Below are 19,675 nucleotides of genomic sequence, written 5' to 3' on the forward strand. Positions count from 1 at the left end.
TTCCTAATTATAGATCAACAGAATCACACAATAGAACAGATGAAATTAAACAGAGCTAGATCTAGTCTACCAGTTAGCTATTTCTCACCCCTGCTCTATGTTATATCCAGAAGAATATTAAGCAGCCCGCAACACACTACAACCCTCAGACACAGCAATTAAAACTTGAAGGATCCAAATATGAACATCCTTTTTCCCTTCCTGACTACTCTCTCATAGAGATGTCAATGAAGTTGCTAAAATAGAATGGAAGAAGAGAAGCAAGCACCACCCAATCAGTGAAAATAAACCATAATATAGTTTTTCTCAAATAAGGAAAATTGAGATAAGCTATTATGACAATGTAGAAATGGTAGTATTTTCAAGTATGTTTCTATTAAAGGTTCACAATACTTACTCAGGTGGAATAAAATGTATCTTTTCTATACAATATTCCAAGAAAGTTAAAACATTTTTAAACTTTATAAGCCAACTTCTAGTTCTCATATAAGTTGAAACATCATAAATACTCATGAATCTAACAGAGAAAAATGTACATATGTGTTATAATAAAAAGCAAGTGCTATACTTTGGGTTAATATAAAAGGGGAAGGTGTACTAAGTATAAATTTAATATGGACCCACCAAATAAGCTCAGTCTCATGCCTCTGCATCCATCCACCTATCCATCCATGGTCATGGTACAGGAGTAGTTTTAGCATGAGACTCCTGCTGCCTCTGTTCCTGACCAGAGGTTGAACATAAGTAAAGCTTCTCTAGACCATTTGGAGTTTGGAATCAAGCTTTCCTTTGTCATGCTGGTCTGGCCCAACCCTCTCCAAGGCCCTGAAAGCTCTAACTTTCCCAAACTTTATTCCAGGGACTGGTAAAGATCTTCCAAATAGATTACCTGGCTGCTGAAATGTTATCTATCACCCAGCCAGGATCTCCTATTATTATTGCCCCACAGCTTTGTGTTAGATCATCTATTATCTAATGTTTGCCAGGACTGTAACCAGATATTGTTATATCTCCAAGATACTGAGCTTTTCCCACCAGACTTAATTGCACTTGTCAGCACCAGCAGTTGGGTCAATTCTTCCAGAGCCTGCTCCACCCCAGGGAGCAGTCTAATGGCAGCCTCCAGGCTTCTAAACCTCCTCTGTCTGGTAATTTAAAGTGAAGATAATATAAAGGCAAAATAATTATAATAGTTATTGAGGTTATATAAGTTCCCTTTCATGGATTCCCGAGTGTCTTATCTAATTACATGACAGTCCAATCTTTCTCCAGACTCCCCTAATGTCACCAAGGTTATAAAACTTTAGAGGAAAAAAATAAACCAATAAAATAAAAAGCAGATGGATAGATGGATGGAAGGACAGACAGATGGACAGACAGAAGATGGATACATACAGATATGTGAAATAATAGATTGATCAATCAGGACATTTAATTCTCATTTTATTCATTCTTCATCATATAGTCATTCAATTTTGGAAATATCAATTAAAGAAGTGTTATACTTACTTTCCTTGGATGGAGTAATAGCATTTTGCTGCACCAATTAATATCCGGGCTGCCTCTATTTCAAGAATTCCATTGTTACGCTGTTTTTCAAAGCTACTCTAAACATACATTAAATGAAGATTACAAAAGATCAAAACATAAATGGAATGTATTCTTCTTAACCCTTACATAGCCCTCACTATTATTACTGAACTCAATATATCAAAATATGCCATTACAAAAAATTATGTAGTAGGAAATAAATATCATTCAATGCAAATGTTTACAGAATACTCATTTTTATAAAGTATAGTCCTGAATGTTATGAGATAAAAAGGGTCTTAGCTTTCTAGAAAATCAAAATGTATGCCACTCAGCCAGGCATGGTGGCTCACTTTGGGAGGCCAAGGCAGGGGGATCACTTGAGTCCAGGAGTTCAAGACCAGTCTGGGCAACACGGTGAAACCCCCCATCTCTACCAAAAATACAAAATTAGCCGGGCATGATGGCGCATGCTTGTAATCCCAGCTACTCAGGAGGCTAAGGCAGGAGAATCGCTTGAACCCAGGAGGCGGAGGTTGTGGTGAGCCGAGATCATGCCATTGCACTCCAGTCTGGGCAACAGAGCAAGACTCCGTCTCAAAAATTTATATGTGTGTGTGTATATATATGTGTGTGTATATATATGTATATATATGTATATACACACACACATATATACGCATATTATATATACAACTCAAAGAGTTTACTTCAGTAATATAAATAACATCAGTAGCATCATCTTTCTACAGCAGAATAGAGAGTGCAAAGTATTAATTCTAAGTGTAACTAATCATTTCAGCCCCACAAAGAACTATCAAAAGAAAAAGATAGGCTGTATTGTTGTGTCAATCCTCCCCCTAAAATAGCAGAAAAATTATAGCTTCTACATGACACTGACATTACATTCAGAGGTTAGCGTTACCTCCTGGAACTGCTGCCTACATTTCCTCACATACTGACCATACACTTTGCCTATCCATTGTTTAGAAATGTTGACTCCAACCACTACTGCATTTAACACATTTTCTCAAGTCTTAAAATTTGAGGGATGATAGTCATTTCAGGAAAGGAGAGAATTCACACCACTTATATCTCAAGACAATTCTCATTCACTCATTAGCTCCTTTTCCAGAAGACAGAAAAATTATCCACCAGTAACAGCTTTGATAAAGGATATGCAAATTCTGAAACTGCCTTCCAAACGGTATGGGGCAATGGCCAGGCTCTCTCTACTCTGAGGGCTACTGGAGCACTTAGTGGATTTCCCTACGTTGTAAGCCTCCGTGATGGCCCTGGTAGGATGTCCACTGTGAGAAAACTATGTCCCAGAAGTTCAGTCCTGAGGCCTACCTCCAGTGTTTACACTTGCAGTTTTTCCGGCCCTGCCCATCAAGAAGTAGGCCTGGATCAAGAAAATTATGATTTACTAATATGATGGATTGTTTATTTATTCATTCATCCTTTAAACAAATGTTTATTAAATGCCTACTCTGTTCCAAGCCCTGTTTTAGGGCAATGGAGGTATAGTCCAAGGCTTTAAGGGGTTCACAATCTAGTGGGGCAGGGGAAAAGTTAGATGCTTATATGATAAAACAGGAAATTAAGGGGATAACATTCAGCACAGGGTGTTAATCAGACTTGATGTAGAGATGGGATCAGAGAGAGTTTCTCTTGGAGGAGATGATACTTCAACTGAGTTTTAAGGAGAAGTACAATTATCCAGATGAAGAATGGTCGTGGGGCGAGCAGAGTGAAGAAAGAGGTAGGCAGAGGGTGGCATCTCTAGTGCACGTACAGAGGTGAGAAACAGTATGCTGAGTGCAGTAAAAAACAAGTTGTGGGGCAGAGCATCAGTTAGAGAAACAGTCAGAGGCCAGATTTTAAAATACCTTGTATATTGTGCTTTGACTTAATATCATAGGTAAACTTTTCTTGGAATGTGATATACACATTCTGTGAGATACTCCTTCAACCCCAATCCCTGAAAAACTATGCAGGGCAGGGGAAAGGGTAAGAAAATGTTGCATTCTATAGTCTCTCTTGGAGAATCTCAATGTATATCAGCATATTAAAAATTCTGAAGAGTTCTACAAGAAGTTCTAAAAGAAACCCATTTAACTTTATTTAAGCCACCATTTCCCAAACTAATTTGAGCATGGAAACTTCTTTTTTCATGCAGTTTCTATTAGCATCCCATGGAACAAGTGTTCTTTGAAACTCACAATGGAAAATGTAGGCACTGAGGAGTCATTTAGGGTTTTAAGCAGGAAGGAGGTATAGTCACATGTCTTTTAGTAAGTCACTATAATTTGAGAATGGAAATATTGGAGACAAGGGGACCAATTGAAAGTTATCGTCTGGACAAGAGATTATGACGGCCTAAATTAAGATTCACAAGAATGGAAAGGGGTGTATTTGACAAACATTTAGAAGGTAAGATTGATAGAGCTTGGAGAAGGATAGAGGAAGAGGACTGACTCCAGCAACCAATGGTCTAATTCACTAACACTTGGAATATAACAGTAGGCTTGGGATGAGTTCAATATGGATTTGAGGTAGAGTGAAAGGAGAAGCTGTCTAGCCACCACTGGATTCATGAGTCTAAAGAGCTGGTGTTGAAAGGTATGGAAGGAAGATTACAGATTTGTAGAGCATCTATGCATAGTGTTAAAATCATGAGTGTAGCTGGGACTAAAGAAGGAGAGACTATAAAATAAGAACAGTGGACAGAGTTAATTGTCCTGAGGTGCACCAACATTAAAGGGTTAAAAAGAGTTCATAGAGGAGACTGAAAAGGAAAGGGGTCATAAACACAGGAAGAATGCCAGAGTAGAAGGTACTCTTAGGAAAGCTATTCAAAAATAGCATGCAGCAAGTCCTTCCATGGGATTGTTGGTTTAAAAAAGTAAATGTGGTAGGTCATTATAACAATGACTGCAGTGTGTCATGCCTCTCTGTGTCCATGCCCACTTTGCAATTGGCATCGCTGTTTCCCCATTAAGAGGTGTAATCTACTTTTCTACTCATTGACTCTGGACTGGTTTTGTGATTTGCTTTGACTAATAAAATGGGGGTAAAAGTGACATTGTTCAGGCTCCAGAGCCTGGAACTTAAGAGGCTTTGTGGCTTCCCCTCTCACCCTGTTGGAACCCAGAGACCATGCTGTGAAGAAGCCCAGTCCAGCCAACTATACAGAATAGGCCATAGAGGGGAGAAACAAAGCACCCTGGAAGACAACTAGCATCAGCTGCCAAACCTGCGAGTGAGGACATCCTGGACCCTCCAACCATAGCTGATCTAGGAAATGACCACAGGCATAAGAGTGATCCAAAGCGAGACCAACAATAGAATCACCTGGATTGCCAACACACAGAACCATGAGAAATAATAAATCATTGCTTTAAGCCACCAAGGTCTGGGTTGCTTGGTTAAACAGCAGACGCTGACTAAAACAGGAAAAATCAGTATCAATTGTGGAGAGCCTCCAGAAATTAAAACATACTGCATTAGCTTTGGAACTGGGTGGTGGGCAGAGGGTAGGGGGGCAGTGAGAAGACTGTTAGTGGAAGCTGGAAGAGCAGTGGGGAAACTGTAGCAGGAGGCTGGAGGGAGGCAGCCATGCTATCAAAAGGCAGTACCACTGGCCAGGCTGTCACCTGAGGCAACTCGGAAGACAGAAAATGTACCTCATGAATCTGCTAAGAGGATTTCTAGATTTCTAATATTCCAGGAACATTAAAAGTACTGCTTTTTGTTAGCTTCATATGATAAGGTAGAGAAAGACAGAGACAGGGATAAACCAAAGAGAAATAGTTCAGTCTTAAAGCAGAACTTAGACAAAATATAGAAGCCATGGTTTGCCAGGTTGGAAAGTAAACATGTTTCTCGTCTATGGTTTCTACAGCTGGCAAAGATCTAAGAGTAAAGACCAAAACATGCCAAATTGTAAAGACCATCTATGCTGAGAAGAAACTGCATCAACTAAAGGGCAAATTAACCAGTTAACATCATAATGACAGGATCAAATTCACATATAACAATATTAACCTTAAATGTAAATGGGCTAAATGCCCCAATTAAAAGACACAGACTGGCAAATTGGATAAAGAGTCAAGACCCATCAGTGTGCTGTACTCAGGAGACTCATCTCACATGCAGAAACACACATACTCTCAAAATAAAGGGATAGAGGAAGATCTACCAAGCAAATGGAAAGCAAAAAAAAAAAGCAGGGGTTGCAATCCTAGTCTCTGATAAAACAGACTTTAAACCAACAAACATCAAAAGAGACAAAGGCGGCCATTACATAATGGTAAAGGGATCAATTCAACAAGAAGAGCTAACTATCCTAAATATATATGCACTTAATACAGGAGCACCCAGATTCATAAAGCAAGTCCTTAGAGACCTAGAAAGAGACTTAGAATCCCACATAATAATAATGGGAGATTTTAACACCCCACTGTCAATATTAGACAGATCAACAAGACAGAAGGTTAACAAGGATATCCAGGACTTGAACTCAGCTCTGCACCAAGTGGACCTAATAGACATCTACAGAACTCTCCACCCCAAATCAACAGAATATACATTCTTCTCAGCACCACATCACACTTATTCCAAAACTGACCACATAGTTGGAAGTAAAGCACTCCTTAGCAAATGTAAAAGAACAGAAATCACAACAAACTGTCTCTCAGACCACAGTGCAATCAAATTAGAACTCAGGATTAAGAAAGTCATTCAAAACTGCACAACTACATGGAAACTGAACAACCGGCTCCTGAATGACTACTGGTTAAATAACAAAATGAAGGCAGAAATAAAGATGTTCTTTGAAACCAATGAGAACAAAGACACAACATACCAGAATCTCTGGGACACATTTAAAGCAGTGTGTAGAGGAAAATTTATAGCACTAAATGCCCACAAGAGAAAGCAGGAAAGATCTAAAATCAATACCCTAACATCACAATTAAAAGAACTAGAGAAGCAAGAGCAAACAAATTCAAAAGCTAGTAGAAGGCAAGAAATAACTAAGATCAGAGCAGAACTGAAGGAAATAGAGGCATAAAAAACCTTCAAAAAATCAATGAATCCAGGAGCTGGTTTTTTGAAAAGATCAACAAAATTGATAGACCGCTAGCAAGACTAATAAAGAAGGAAAGAGAGAAGAAGCACATAGATGCAATAAAAAATGATAAAGGGGATACCAGCACTGATCCCACAGAAATACAAACTACCATCAGAGAACACTATAAACACCTCTATGCAAATAAACTAGAAAATCTAGAAGAAATGGATAAATTCCTGGACACATACACCCTCCCAAGACTAAACCAGGAAGAAGTTGAATGGCTGAATAGACCAATAACAGGATCTGAAATTGAGGCAATAATTAATAGCCTACCAACCAAAAAAAGTCCAAGACCAAACAGATTCACAGCCAAATTCTACCAGAAGTACAAAGATGAGCTGCTAACATTCCTTCTGAAACTATTCCAATCAATAGAAAAAGAGGGAATCCTCCCTAACTCATTTTATGAGGCCAGTGTCATCCTGATACCAAAGCCTGGCAGAGACACAACAAAAAAAGAGAATTTTAGACTAATATCCCTGATGAACATCAATGCAAAAATCCTCAATAAAATACTGGCAAACTGAATCCAGCAGCACACCAAACAGCTTATCCACCAAGATCAAGGTGTCTTCATCCCTGGAATGCAAGGCCAGTTCAACATATGCAAATCAATAAACGTAATCCATTACATAAACAGAACCAAAGACAAAAACCACATGATTATCTCAATAGATGCAGGAAAGGCCTTTGACAAAATTCAACAGCCCTACATGCTAAAAACTCTCAATAAACTAGGTATTGATGGGATGTATCTCAAAATAATAAAAGCTATTCATGACAAACCCACAGCAGTATCATACTCAATGGGCAAAAACTGGAAGCATTCCCTTTGAAAACTGGCACAAGACAGGGATGCCCTCTCTCACCACTCCTATTCAACATAGTGTTGGAAGTTCTGGCCAGGGCAATCAGGCAAGAGAAAGAAATAAAGGGTATTCAATTAGGAAAAGAGGAAGTCAAATTGTCCCTGTTTGCAGATGACATGATTGTATATTTAGAAAACCCCATTGTCTCACCCCAAATCTCCTTAAGCTGATAAGCAACTTCAGCAAAGTCTCAGGATACAAAATCAATGTGCAAAAATCACAAGCATCCCTATACACTAATAACAGACAGAGAGCCAAATCATGAGTGAACTCCCATTCACTATTGCTACAAAGAAAATAAAATACCTAGGAATCCAACTTACAAGGGATGTGAAGGACCTCTTCAAGGAGAACTACAAACCACTGCTCAATGAAATAAAAGGGGACAGAAACAAATGGAAGAACATTTCATGCTCATAGATAGGAGGAATCAATATCGTGAAAATGGCCATACTGCCCAAGGCAATTTATAGATTCATTGCCATCCCCACCAAGCTACCAATGACTTTCTTCACAGAATTGGAAAAAATTACTTTAAAGTTCATATGGAACCAAAAAAGAGTCTGCCTTGCCAAGACAATCCTAACCAAAACTAACAAAGCTGGAGGCATCACACTACCTGACTTCAAACTATACTACAAGGCTACAGTAACAAAAACAGCATGGTACTGGTACCAAAACAGAAGTATAGACCAATGGAACAGAACAGAGGCATCAGAAATAACACCACACATCTACAACCATCTGATCTTTGACAAACCTGACAAAAACAAGCAATGGGGAAAGGATTCCCTATTTAATAAATGGTGCTGGGAAAGCTGGCTAGCCATACGTAGAAAGCTGAAACTGGATCCCTTCCTTACACCTTATACAAAAATTAATTCAAGATGGATTAAAGACTTAAATGTTAGACCTAAAAACCATAAAAAACCCAGAAGAAAACCTAGGCAATACTATTCAGTACATAGGCATGGGCAAGGACTTCATGACCAAAACACCAAAAGCAATGGCAATAAAAGCCAAAATTGACAAATGGGATCTAATTAAACTAAAGAGCTTCTGCACAGCAAAAGAAACTACCATCAGAGTGAACAGGCAACCTACAGAATGGGAGAAAGTTTTTGCAATCTACCCATCTGACAAAGGGCTAATATCAAGAATCTCCAAAGAACTTAAACAAATTTACAAGAAAAAAATCAAACAACCCCATCAAAAAGTGGGCAAAGGATATGAACAGCCACTTCTCAAAAGAAGACACTTATGCAGCCAACAGACACATGAAAAAATGCTCATCATCATTGGTCATCAGAAAAATGCAAATCAAAACCACAATGAGATGCCATCTCACACCAGTTAGAATGGTGATCATTAAAAAGTCAGGAAACAACAGGTGCTGGAGAGGATGTGGAGAATTAGGAATGCTCTTACACTGTTGGTGGGAGTGTAAACTAGTTCAACCATTGTGGAAGACAGTGTGGCGATTCCTCAAGGATCTAGAACTAGAAATACCATTTGATCCAGCCATCCCATTACTAGGTATATACCCAAAGGATTATAAATCATGCTACTATAAAGATACATGCAAACTCTGTTTATTGAGGCATCATTCACAATAGCAAAGACTTGGAACCAACCCATATGTCCATCAATGATAGACTGGATTAAGAAAATGTGGCACATATACAACATGGAATACTATACAGCCATAATAAATGATGAGTTCATGTCCTTTGTAGGGACATGGATGAAGCTGGAAACCATAATTCTGAGCAAACTATCACAAGGACAAAAAACCAAACACCACATGTTCTCACTCATAGGTGGGAGTTGAACAATGAGAACACTTGGACACAGGGCGGGGAACATCACACACCAGGGCCTGTCATGGGGTAGGGCGATGGGGGAGGGATAGCATTAGGAGAAATACCTAACGTAAATGATGAGTTAATGGGTGCAGCAAACCAACATGGCACATGTATACGTATGTAACAAACCTGCACGTTGTGCACATGTACCCTAGAACTTAAAGTATAATTTAAAAAAAAAGACCAAATCCAGGGTGCTGCCAGTAAAATATGGCCTCTGCTTCCAAATCAAATCAAGGGTGTGGCTGAAGGCCCTTTGTTAAGACCACCCAAAGATTCAAGGTCGTATTTCATCTACCTTCTCAACAAGACTAAAGGCCTCCTCAGACTCATATCTGCATTGTCTGATACAGTCAACAGTCTACCTGAAAAGAAACTGTGAAGTGGGGCGGACTAAACCAGAGTCATGGAAAACAAACAATTTTTACGGTAATTGTGCTAGATTGGACAAAAAGGGACGGAGACAGTTCTAAGTGAATATAAATAAACCTCCCAGTTTTCTACAGGCAGAAATCAAACTGAGAAAGCCACTTGGCTACAAGCATGGATTATTTCCTATGGAAACGGAAAGAATGGGGAGAATTGGTATGTGTGCCCAGATGGATTTCAGAATTGCCATGGACACGTAATTTCTCAGGCCATCCCATTCTTCCCCCTCTTAAACAGTAGTGTCTGTTGATCATCACTGAATATTGGGTGTCTGGGGGGCAGATAACTTTTCTTTTTAGTTCACAGGTATCTAGATCAAGAAGACTCACACTTCAGGAGAGGCAACCAAGGAGCCTCTCGCCTGGATTGCAGATCATAAGATACTGGACTTTGAGTCTGGTAGTAAATAGGATGTAGCTTTTTGGGTTCTTGGAAAAGGGTGAGTCTGTTTTACATGTCGGAGGGGTAGAAATATTGTGGCCAGTGGGCAAACTGTGGAACAGTAAATATGGCCACAAATTCTGTGCATGTCTTACTATTAAGAGGTTGAATCTATTGCCCCACCCCTTGAATTGAGGCAGCCTCATTCACAAGTCTGGAAGTTAGGTACTGGCCCTTTTGCCTCAGTTTTCCTCTAGGTGGCTTCTCATTCTTCAGAGACTGCTTCTTTGCATGGCAGTCTCAGGGTGGCATTCGGAGTGGGAAAAAGGTAGAAGCTACAAATCTTCTCAATGCCTAGGCTCTAGAACGTTCACAAAGCCACTTTTGCCATATTTTATGCTCAAAACAAATCACAAGAACAGCCCCAATTCAAGGGATAGGATAAAGATACCACTTTTTAATAGGAGGCTCTGCAAAGAATTTGTGGCCATACGTAATTTTCTACTGTGGACGAGAGCCTTTCAAACTCTGAGAATATGTTAAACTAAGTATAGAAATGTTTAAAAGAATGAAAATAATTTCTTAAGAAGAAATATGTTCTTCAAGCTGGGAGCGGTGGCTCACACCTGTAATCCCAGTGCTTTGGGAGGGTGAGGTGGGCAGATCACTTGAGGCCAGAAGTTTGAGACCAACCTGGCCAACGTGCCAAAACCTCATCTCTACTAAAAATACAAAAATTAGCTGGGCATGGTGCCAAAACCTCGTCTGTACTAAAAATACAAAAATTACCTGGGCATGGTGGCACGCACTTGTAATTCCAGCTACCAGGGAGGCTGAGGCACAAGAATCTCTTGAACCCAGGAGGTGGAGGTTGCAGTGAGTCAAGATCGCGCCACTGCACTCCAGCCTGGATGACAGAGTCAGACTTTGTTTCAAAATAAATAAAATAAATAAATAAGAAGAAATATATTCTTCAACAGAAAAAAATGAAAGCAAAAAGAAGAAATTTATATGTTAACAGAGATTTGAAGGACATATCAGTTCATTGCAATGTGTGGACTTTACTGGAGTTCAATTTGAAAACATAAACTGTAAAAATAAATATTTATCACATTTCTGAGACAATTGGAAATCTTACCACTGAGTCGACATTTGATGTTATTAAGGAATTATTGTTCACTTTTAAGTATAATGTTAGTATTTTATGTTTTTAAAAATACTTTAAAATTTAGAGATATATACTGAAATATTTACAGATGTATGATTTGTTTCAGACTAATACATAAGATGGGGGTTAGGATGCAGCAGGTATTGGTCACATGTGGATGGTTTTTAAGGTTGGGTGATGGGTACATGAGGATTTATTACACTATTCTATCTACTTTTGCATATGTTAGGAATTCTTAATATTGACAATAAGTTTTAAAAAGAAACTAAAAAAGAATTCTGGGCACAATTCATATTTTATATACATTTTATATTGAATAAAATTTGTTCCATTTGATTATAACTCCAGTTTAAAATGTACAATTTGACAAGCTGGTATAAACTTGATTTTACCAGGTAATCTTCCTATATTTATATAGAACATTTAAATATTAGTATTACAACATTTCAAGAGAATTTTTGATTCATCAGATATATTTTAGCTTATTATATCTCTAACAGTTAAATTAGCACTTGAGAGAATTTCGTATAAATGGAACTCAGATATGTTAAATTTATAAAAGCAATTTTAAATATTTGAAAATGTTTAATTATCTAGTATGTAAATAGCACCAAACATTATTCTAAGGGCCCTCAAAAGTGACTGCTAAAATTTGCCAGACATAGAAACAGGATAATAAGGTTTGTGACTTAAACTTCAAGCCTCAGGAAGAAGGAGAATTTTTTTATTTTTTAACTTTAACAAATCACACATTAATTTTAACAATCAATAGACTATGAGAAGGTAAAGTTTTCAAGTCATCTGAAAATCATATGCAAGGATCAAAGACATTGCAAGAAAGGAAATTTTAAAACATTATGTGAACAGCACCAACCATTTGTATTGCAGCTACATGCAATCTGGCTTCCTCCATTAAAGCTTCATCTGTTGTGGATTCTGTCTTCATATCATTATGTGAAACGTGGGAAAACTGAACCGTATCAGATGACATTTTAAAACATAAAGGGATAAAGTTAAAAATAAGTAAAAATGATTAGGAACTGGCAAATACTACTCTCAACAAAGATTCCAATAATTCAAAGCAGAATTGCTAGAATGAAGAGCTATGTAATGTTTTTTCATATAAGAAGTGTTGCCTTCAATTGTGCTAAAGTAAATACTCATTTGGGGAGATTTATATCCCAAATTCTTCTCTAAACTTATCTATATGTTTGATTGCTCTCTAAATCAGCCCATGTTTTCTGCTTTTTATAACACTTCTACCAGGAGAGAATTATCAGTATCTTAAGCCATTAAAAACATTATCTTGGCAGAGGCCATTGATTGGTACTCAACCAGCCAGATTGTAAAACATCCATTCTCCTGGTATTTGGCAAATAAAGCTGGATAACCAAGACCTTCTCTTTGGAGACAGAATTCAAACTCATTTCACCAAAATAGCAAAGCCAGTAACTATCTCCCCTCAGTTTTGTGACATTTAATTAGCAGAATCAGGTCTTTAACAATAGGCTAAAGCAAGTGAGGCAGACCAAGGGAAGGAAAGGAAAACTACTTTTTGCCAGGTATCAACTCACAGGAATGTATTCGATCCTCGTTTTATCTTCTACTAAGGTCCAGTTAACATTTGTCAAAATTTTTTCTGTTTTAAATAAAGTTATTGTGTTCTGTACTATCTCCTGTATGTGCTGAGTGGCATTTTGCAAGATCATTTGTCTTGGGAGGGAAAGAACACACAAATCTGTGACAAAGACAAAAGCAAAGGCCTTAATAGAGTACAGTGAGGACTGCAAGGGAAAGCAAAAAATGTTGCATGATCATGTAGTGAAATCTTGAGATCACCTGCAAACCAGAGTGGTTAGAGCAAGGACAATTTTTCATACAAAACTTTCCAGAAGATTACCCAACTATTTGTTTCTTTTTGGCTGTACAGCTCAACTTTATCTGACTCAACTGATAAAAAATGTTTATTAGTTTCCTTGCTTTCCCTATAGCTAAAGACATGACTACTTCAACGCACCTAATCCATATTTCTCAAAGTGTAAAGTGTACAGGTGGAAGGGCTGCCTATTAAACTATGCAAATTCCTGGGTTCCACTCCATACCTACAGAATCAGATTGGCTTGAAAATTTGCATTTTAACAAGTTCTCTCATTGTTTCTTATACTGTACATAATAACATTTAAAGGCCAGTGCAGTAGAGATCCCTCAAGTTTAACATCTCTGTTTTCTGGCCAGTGAATCAATATGTTCAAAATTTGAAGCATTTTGTATTTTCTTGAGGTATGAACTACAAGGCTCACTTACCAAAGAGAAGAATTAAATGAGTAAATAAGCTTAGCCTACTTACTCACAATTCCATCTCAATAAAGCTGTTCTCTCCTTAAAATTGCATATGAAATGTCTCTTCAAGGGTTAAATGGCTTCTAAACGTTTCAGTTTAACTTTATTTCACTCTCTATGGGACACTGCGTACAATGGAGTGATTTGAAGTTTGGGGATTCAGAAAGATCTGTAGGGATATCCCTCTCAAACATCAGGATCAGTTCACTGTAACCTGGAGCAAAGAGGCATCTGACTGCCTGCTCCCTTGGATTTAAAATTCCCATGGCTAAGACCACACAAGGAGAAAATGTATTCATTTGCCCAATTAGATCCCACCCATATGATGGGGCAACAGCCACTTTCCAGTTGCTCAGGGGAAATATGAAGGCATGTAGGCTACTTGGTGGCACCAGTACATCTGAATATACTCCCAGTGGTTAAGATAATCCTGGAAGAATATGAGGAGGGACCTTTTAAAAGCATTAGACCAGGTGGAAGGAGTTGGTTTGAAACTCTGACTGATAAAACTCAAGTCCGACAAGCACCTGTTAAATGTGTACCACATGGTATTCCTAGAAACGATGAACATTGACTCTGAAAAGATAAAGTACTTGCTATACAATCTTTATTCCACAGTGAGTTAAAAGAAATTCTGAAGCTTGGTTAATACAATCAAAAATTTATAGAGGGGAAAAAAAGAAACAAGACAAAAAAAGCATTGTCATGATAGTACAATCCCTCACTGATCTCACTTTTGAATACCAGAGTAGGAGGAATCACAAGAAAGGAAGCATGAGAGAAACCCACATATTTTATCTTAAAAAAAGAGAGTCAACTGGGTCAGGATCCCTGGCAGCCAAAGGGATTTGGTAGGAAGGAAAGTGTGAGCAAGACTTCCGGCATCAAATTAACTTCACTCATGCTGCCTTGTGAGCTTTTGCCAATCCAAGCACACCTTTTCACTGCAAACAAGAATAAACCAAGACCAGGTACAGTGGCTCACAACTATAATCTCGACACTTTGGGATGCCAGGGCAGGAGAATCCCTTGAGCCCAGGAATTCAAGACCAACCAGGGCAATATAGCCAGACCCTGTTTCTACTAAAAAAGAAAAAAAATGAGCTGGGTGTGGTGGTGCAAATCTATACTCCCAGCTATTCAGGAGGCTGAGGCAGGAGTATCACTTGAGTCCAGGAGGTCAAGGCTGCAGTGAGCCATAATCGTGCCACTGCATTGCAGCCTGGGTGACAGAATGAGATCCTGTATCTTTTTTTATTTTTTTATTTTATTTATTTATTTATTTATTTATTTATTTATTTTTGAGGAGGAGTTTCACTCTGTCGCCAGGCTGGAGTGCAGTGGTGCAATCTTGCCTCACTGCAACATCCACCTCCTGGGTTCAAGTGATTCTCCTGCCTCAGCCTCCCAAGTAGCTGGGACTACAGGCATGCGCCACCATGCCCAGCTAATTTTTATATTTTTAGTAGCAACGGGGTTTCACCATGTTGGCCAGGATGGTCTCGATCTCTTGACCTTGTGATCCGCCCGCCTTGGCCTTCCAAAGTGTTGAGATTACAGGCGTGAGCCACCACGCCCAGCCCTGTATCATTTTTTTTTTTTAAATGAAGAAGAACAAACACAGCCTGGTGGGGTGGTAAGCACCTGTAGTCCCAGCTACTCTGGAGGCTGAGCCCAGGAATTTGAGACCAGCCTGGGCAAGATAGTGAGCCGTTGAAAGAGAGAGAGAGAGAGAGAGAGAGAGAGAGAGAGAGAAGGAAGGGAAGGGAAGAGGAGGGGAGGGGAGGGGAGGGGAGCAAGTCCATAACTGGGGGAAAAGGAGAGCTGCCTAAAATCTGCCCCACGTGCTAGCCTCACTCAAACATTGGAGCCCTTTGCTTTGAGGTGGGCTGTCACAGGAAGTTCTGCAATAGTGTTTATGAGGCACAGTTCTAAGAATGTGCAGGACTTTCTGAAAACACCCAAGCAGAGCAGTGTTGTCTCTGAGTAGGACAGGATGAATATAGCAGGCTACTTCCATATTTAGAACAACTCTCCTTCAACATTATCCTTCCTTTGCCCTCATTAGTTCCATGCTCTATGAGAAACCTTTTGATTACCAATTTGGTTTATCAAGAAAATTGGTATCAGAGGTGAATACTGTGATAATGGTCACAAAAATTTCAGACATAGAAATTCATCCTCATTATAAACTAGTAAATCGGCCTTCTGGTTTATTGATGAATCTGTGAATGTGGTGCAGGCATGCCTTATCTCATTGTGCTTTACCTTATTGTGCTTTGCAGATATTACAGTTCTTACAAATTGAAGGTCTGCAGCAACCCTGCATCTAGCAAGTCTATCAGCACCATTTTTCCAACAGTATGTCCTCGCTTCATATCTCTGTGTCTACATTTTGGTAATTCTCACAATATTTCAAACTTTTTCATTATTATTATATCCATGATGGTGATATGTGATCAGTAGTCTTTGATATTACTAATGTAATTGCGTTGGGGCACCACAAACTGCACCCACATAGGACAACAATCAGTAAGTGTGTGTTCTGACTGCCCCTCAGACTGGCCATTTCTGCATCTCTCTCTCGCTCTCTCCTTGGATCTCGCTATTCCCTGAGACACACAGTATTGAAATTAGGCCAATTAATAACCCTACAATGGCTTCTAAGTGTTCAAGTGAAAGTAAGAGTCATACATCTCTCACTTTAAATTAGAAACTAGAAATGATTGAATTCAGTGAGGAAGGCAGGTTGAAAGCCGAGATAAGCCAAGCACTAGGCCTTTTGCACTAGTCAGCCAAGTTGTGAGTGGAAAAAAAAATCTCTTGAAAGAAATTAAAAGTGCTACTCCAGTGAACACACCAATGGTAAGAAGGCAAAACAGCCTTATTGCTGATATGGAGAAAGATTGAGTGGTCTGAATAGAAAATCAAACCAACACAATATTCCCTTTAGCCAAAATCTAATCTGGAGAAAGGCCCTAACTCTATTCAGTTATATGAAGGCTAAGAGAGGTGAGGAAGCTGCAGAAGAAAAGTTAGGAGCTAGCGGAGATTGGTTCATGAGGTTAAAGGAAAGAAGTCATCTCCATTACATAAAAGTGCAAAGTGAAGAGCAAGTGCTGATGTAGAAGCTGCAGCAAGTTATCCAGAAGATCTAGCTGAGATCATTGATGAAGGTGATTTTCAATGTAGATTTCAATGTAGATTCAGCAGATTTTCAATGCAGATAAACAGCCTTATATTGGAATAGAATGCTATGGATGACTTTCATTACTAAAAAGGAAAAGCCAATGCCTAGCTTCAAAGCTTCAAAGGACAGACTAACTCTTGTTAGGGGCTAATGCAGCTTGTGACTTTAAGTTGAAGCCAATACTTACTTATCATTCTGAAAATCCTAAGACTCTTAAGAATTAAGCTAAATGTATTCTGTCTGAGGTCTAAAAAATGAAAAAACAAAGCCTGGATGACAGCACATCTCTTTATAGCATGGTTTACTAAATATTTTAAGCTCACTATTGATATCTACTGCTCAGAAAAAAAAAGATTCCTTTCAAAATATTACTACTCATTGACAATACACTTAGTCATGCAAGAGCTCTGATGGAGATGGACAAGGAGTTGAATGTTGTTTCCCTGCCTGCCAGCACAACATCCATTCTGCAGCCCAAGTATCAAGGAGTCATTTTGACTTTCAAGCCTTATTATTTAATAAACACATTTTGTAAGGCTATAGCTGTCATAGATAGTGATTCCTCTGATGGATGTAGGGAAAATCAATAAAAAACCTCATGGATAGAATTCACCATTCTAGGTGCCATTAAGAGCATTCATAATTCATAGCAGGAGGTCAAAATATCAACATTAATAGGAGTCAGGAAGAAGTTGATTTTAACCTTCATAGATGACTTTGAGGGGTTCAAGACTTCAGTGGAGGAAGTAACTGCAGATGTGGTGGAAATAGCAAGGGAACTAGAATTAGAAGTAGAGCCTGAAGATGTGACTGAATTGCTGCAATCTCAGGATAAAACTTGCATGGATGAGGAGTTGCTTCTTACAGATGAGTAAACGAAGTGCTTTCTTGATATGGCATCTACTCCTGGTGAAGATGCTGTGAACATTGTTGAAAGGACAGCAAAGGATTTAGAATATTTTATAAACTTAGTTGCTAAAGTAGTGGCAACAGGTTTTGAGAGGATTTATTCCAATTTTGAAAGAAGCTCTACTCTATGTAAAATGCTATCAAACAGCACTGCATGCTACAGAGAAATCTTTCATGAAAGGAAGAGTCAGTTGATGTGCCAAACTTCACTGTTGTCTTAAAGAAATTGCCACAGCTGCCCAATCTTCAGCAACCACCACCCTGATCTGATCAGTCAGCAGCTATCAACCCTGCACCAGCAAAAAGATTATGAATTGCTGAAGGCTCAGATGATTGTTAGCATTTTTTTAGCAAGAAAGCATTTTTTCATTAAGGTATGTAAATAGTTTTCTTAGACACTGTGCTTTTGATTATAATTGACTACAGTATAGTGTAAACACAACTTTTATATGTACTGGGAAACCATATAATTTGTATGACTTGCTTTATTGTGATATTTATTGCATTATTTGCTTTGTCACGTGGTCTGGAATTGAACCTGCAATATCTCCAAGTTATGCCTGATATGTAAATCTCTAGTAGTCTGATCAATTTTAAATACCCAGACAAAATCGGGTCTCTGTAGCAGCAAAGCTGAGGATCAGGCCATGGCATATTGAACTATACTAAGGCTCTACGATAAGACTTTGCCTAATCTCACCCCAGTTTTCTCCTCTCCCCTTGAACCTACTGCCACCAAGTATCTTATCCTGGATTTCTCTACCGAATGTGTCTATTTGTTATTTTATTATATTTATGCATTTTATTATAAATGGCCTGAGATTCCTTTTAGAAATAACCAACTGTGGCAGAGCCTGCTGTTATCTCCCAACATCCATTCTCTTCTTCTTCCTTCTGCTAATAGAATCTCCAAGTTTTGGCTGATCATATCGCCAGCCCGGAAAGATGATATTTCGCAGCTTCCCTTGCCCATGTGTGTCCATGTGACTAAGTTCTGGCCAATGGAATGTGAGTGATAATGATACATACAGAGGGAGGCTGCTTACCCTCCATTGCCACACACCCCTCCCCCACCATTTCCCCTTTCTAGTTGGTTGGATTGTAGACATGGTGGTAGTGAGCAGGCTTCTACCCTGTGGGCAAGAGCAGCACCCTAGGGCATGGAAGAGCAATCAAAGGAAAGGAACGTGGATTTCTAAACAACTTTATGTAGAGTAGAACCATCTCACACTTCTGGACTTTTTGGTGGAGGGAAAAAAAAACCTTCTGTCTTGTTTAAGCCTCTGTTCATTTCGCTTTTGTTAAACTGGCTGAAACAATATCCCAAGTAATACAGCATCTAAATATATGAATAAATGAAAAATGAATAATTTCTAAACCAATTCCTTGAGCTTCATGAGAAATGTCCCCATGACACCCAACAATAACCTGTTTGTATTATTCTCCCCAGCTAATTCATGAATGAGACACATACTTTACCTAACTTCCTGGCTGACTGAGTCATCACGTATGAATTTATTCCCATTGTCAATAATGATATTACTTGTACATAGAGTATAAACTAAAAACAAAGCACATAAATAGTTAGAACCAAAACATTAAATAAGTTCTCCAAAAGCAATCATTGTTCAATTAGCCACTTACAAAATTCTATTAATATCTTAATCCACATTTTAAAATCCTGTTTCTGATAAGTCAGTTAAGGCAAAAAGGCAGTTTTGTGGACATTGCCTGAACACACTACACTGGGGCAGACATTAATTTTCAATCTGAATGAGGAAAACAGTAGACTGGAGATTCTATGCTAAGGACACAGGGAGGAGGTCTCCACAGTTGCCACTCCTGGCAGCAGTC

General features: G+C 38.7%; 1 protein-coding gene across 15 annotated transcripts in view; it reads right to left on the reverse strand.

Moving 5' to 3' along the window:
• Nucleotides 1-19,675, reverse strand: part of SLC9C2 (solute carrier family 9 member C2 (putative)) — a 102,613-nt gene that overhangs the window by 34,973 nt on the left and 47,965 nt on the right. For 14 of the 15 annotated variants that reach the window (XM_047418170.1, XM_017001074.2, XM_047418169.1 and 11 more), the window contains 5 exons: nt 19,301-19,382; nt 12,957-13,120; nt 12,257-12,352; nt 1,510-1,607; nt 398-517 (listed from right to left, as the gene is read on the reverse strand). In XM_047418170.1, the coding sequence (XP_047274126.1) occupies nt 398-517; nt 1,510-1,607; nt 12,257-12,352; nt 12,957-13,120; nt 19,301-19,382 (560 nt within the window). The remainder of the gene's footprint in view (nt 1-397; nt 518-1,509; nt 1,608-12,256; nt 12,353-12,956; nt 13,121-19,300; nt 19,383-19,675) is intronic. The other variant, XM_017001076.2, reaches the window with a different exon arrangement.

Source organism: Homo sapiens, chromosome 1 (assembly GCF_000001405.40).
Source record: "Homo sapiens chromosome 1, GRCh38.p14 Primary Assembly".
NCBI lineage: Eukaryota > Metazoa > Chordata > Mammalia > Primates > Hominidae > Homo > Homo sapiens.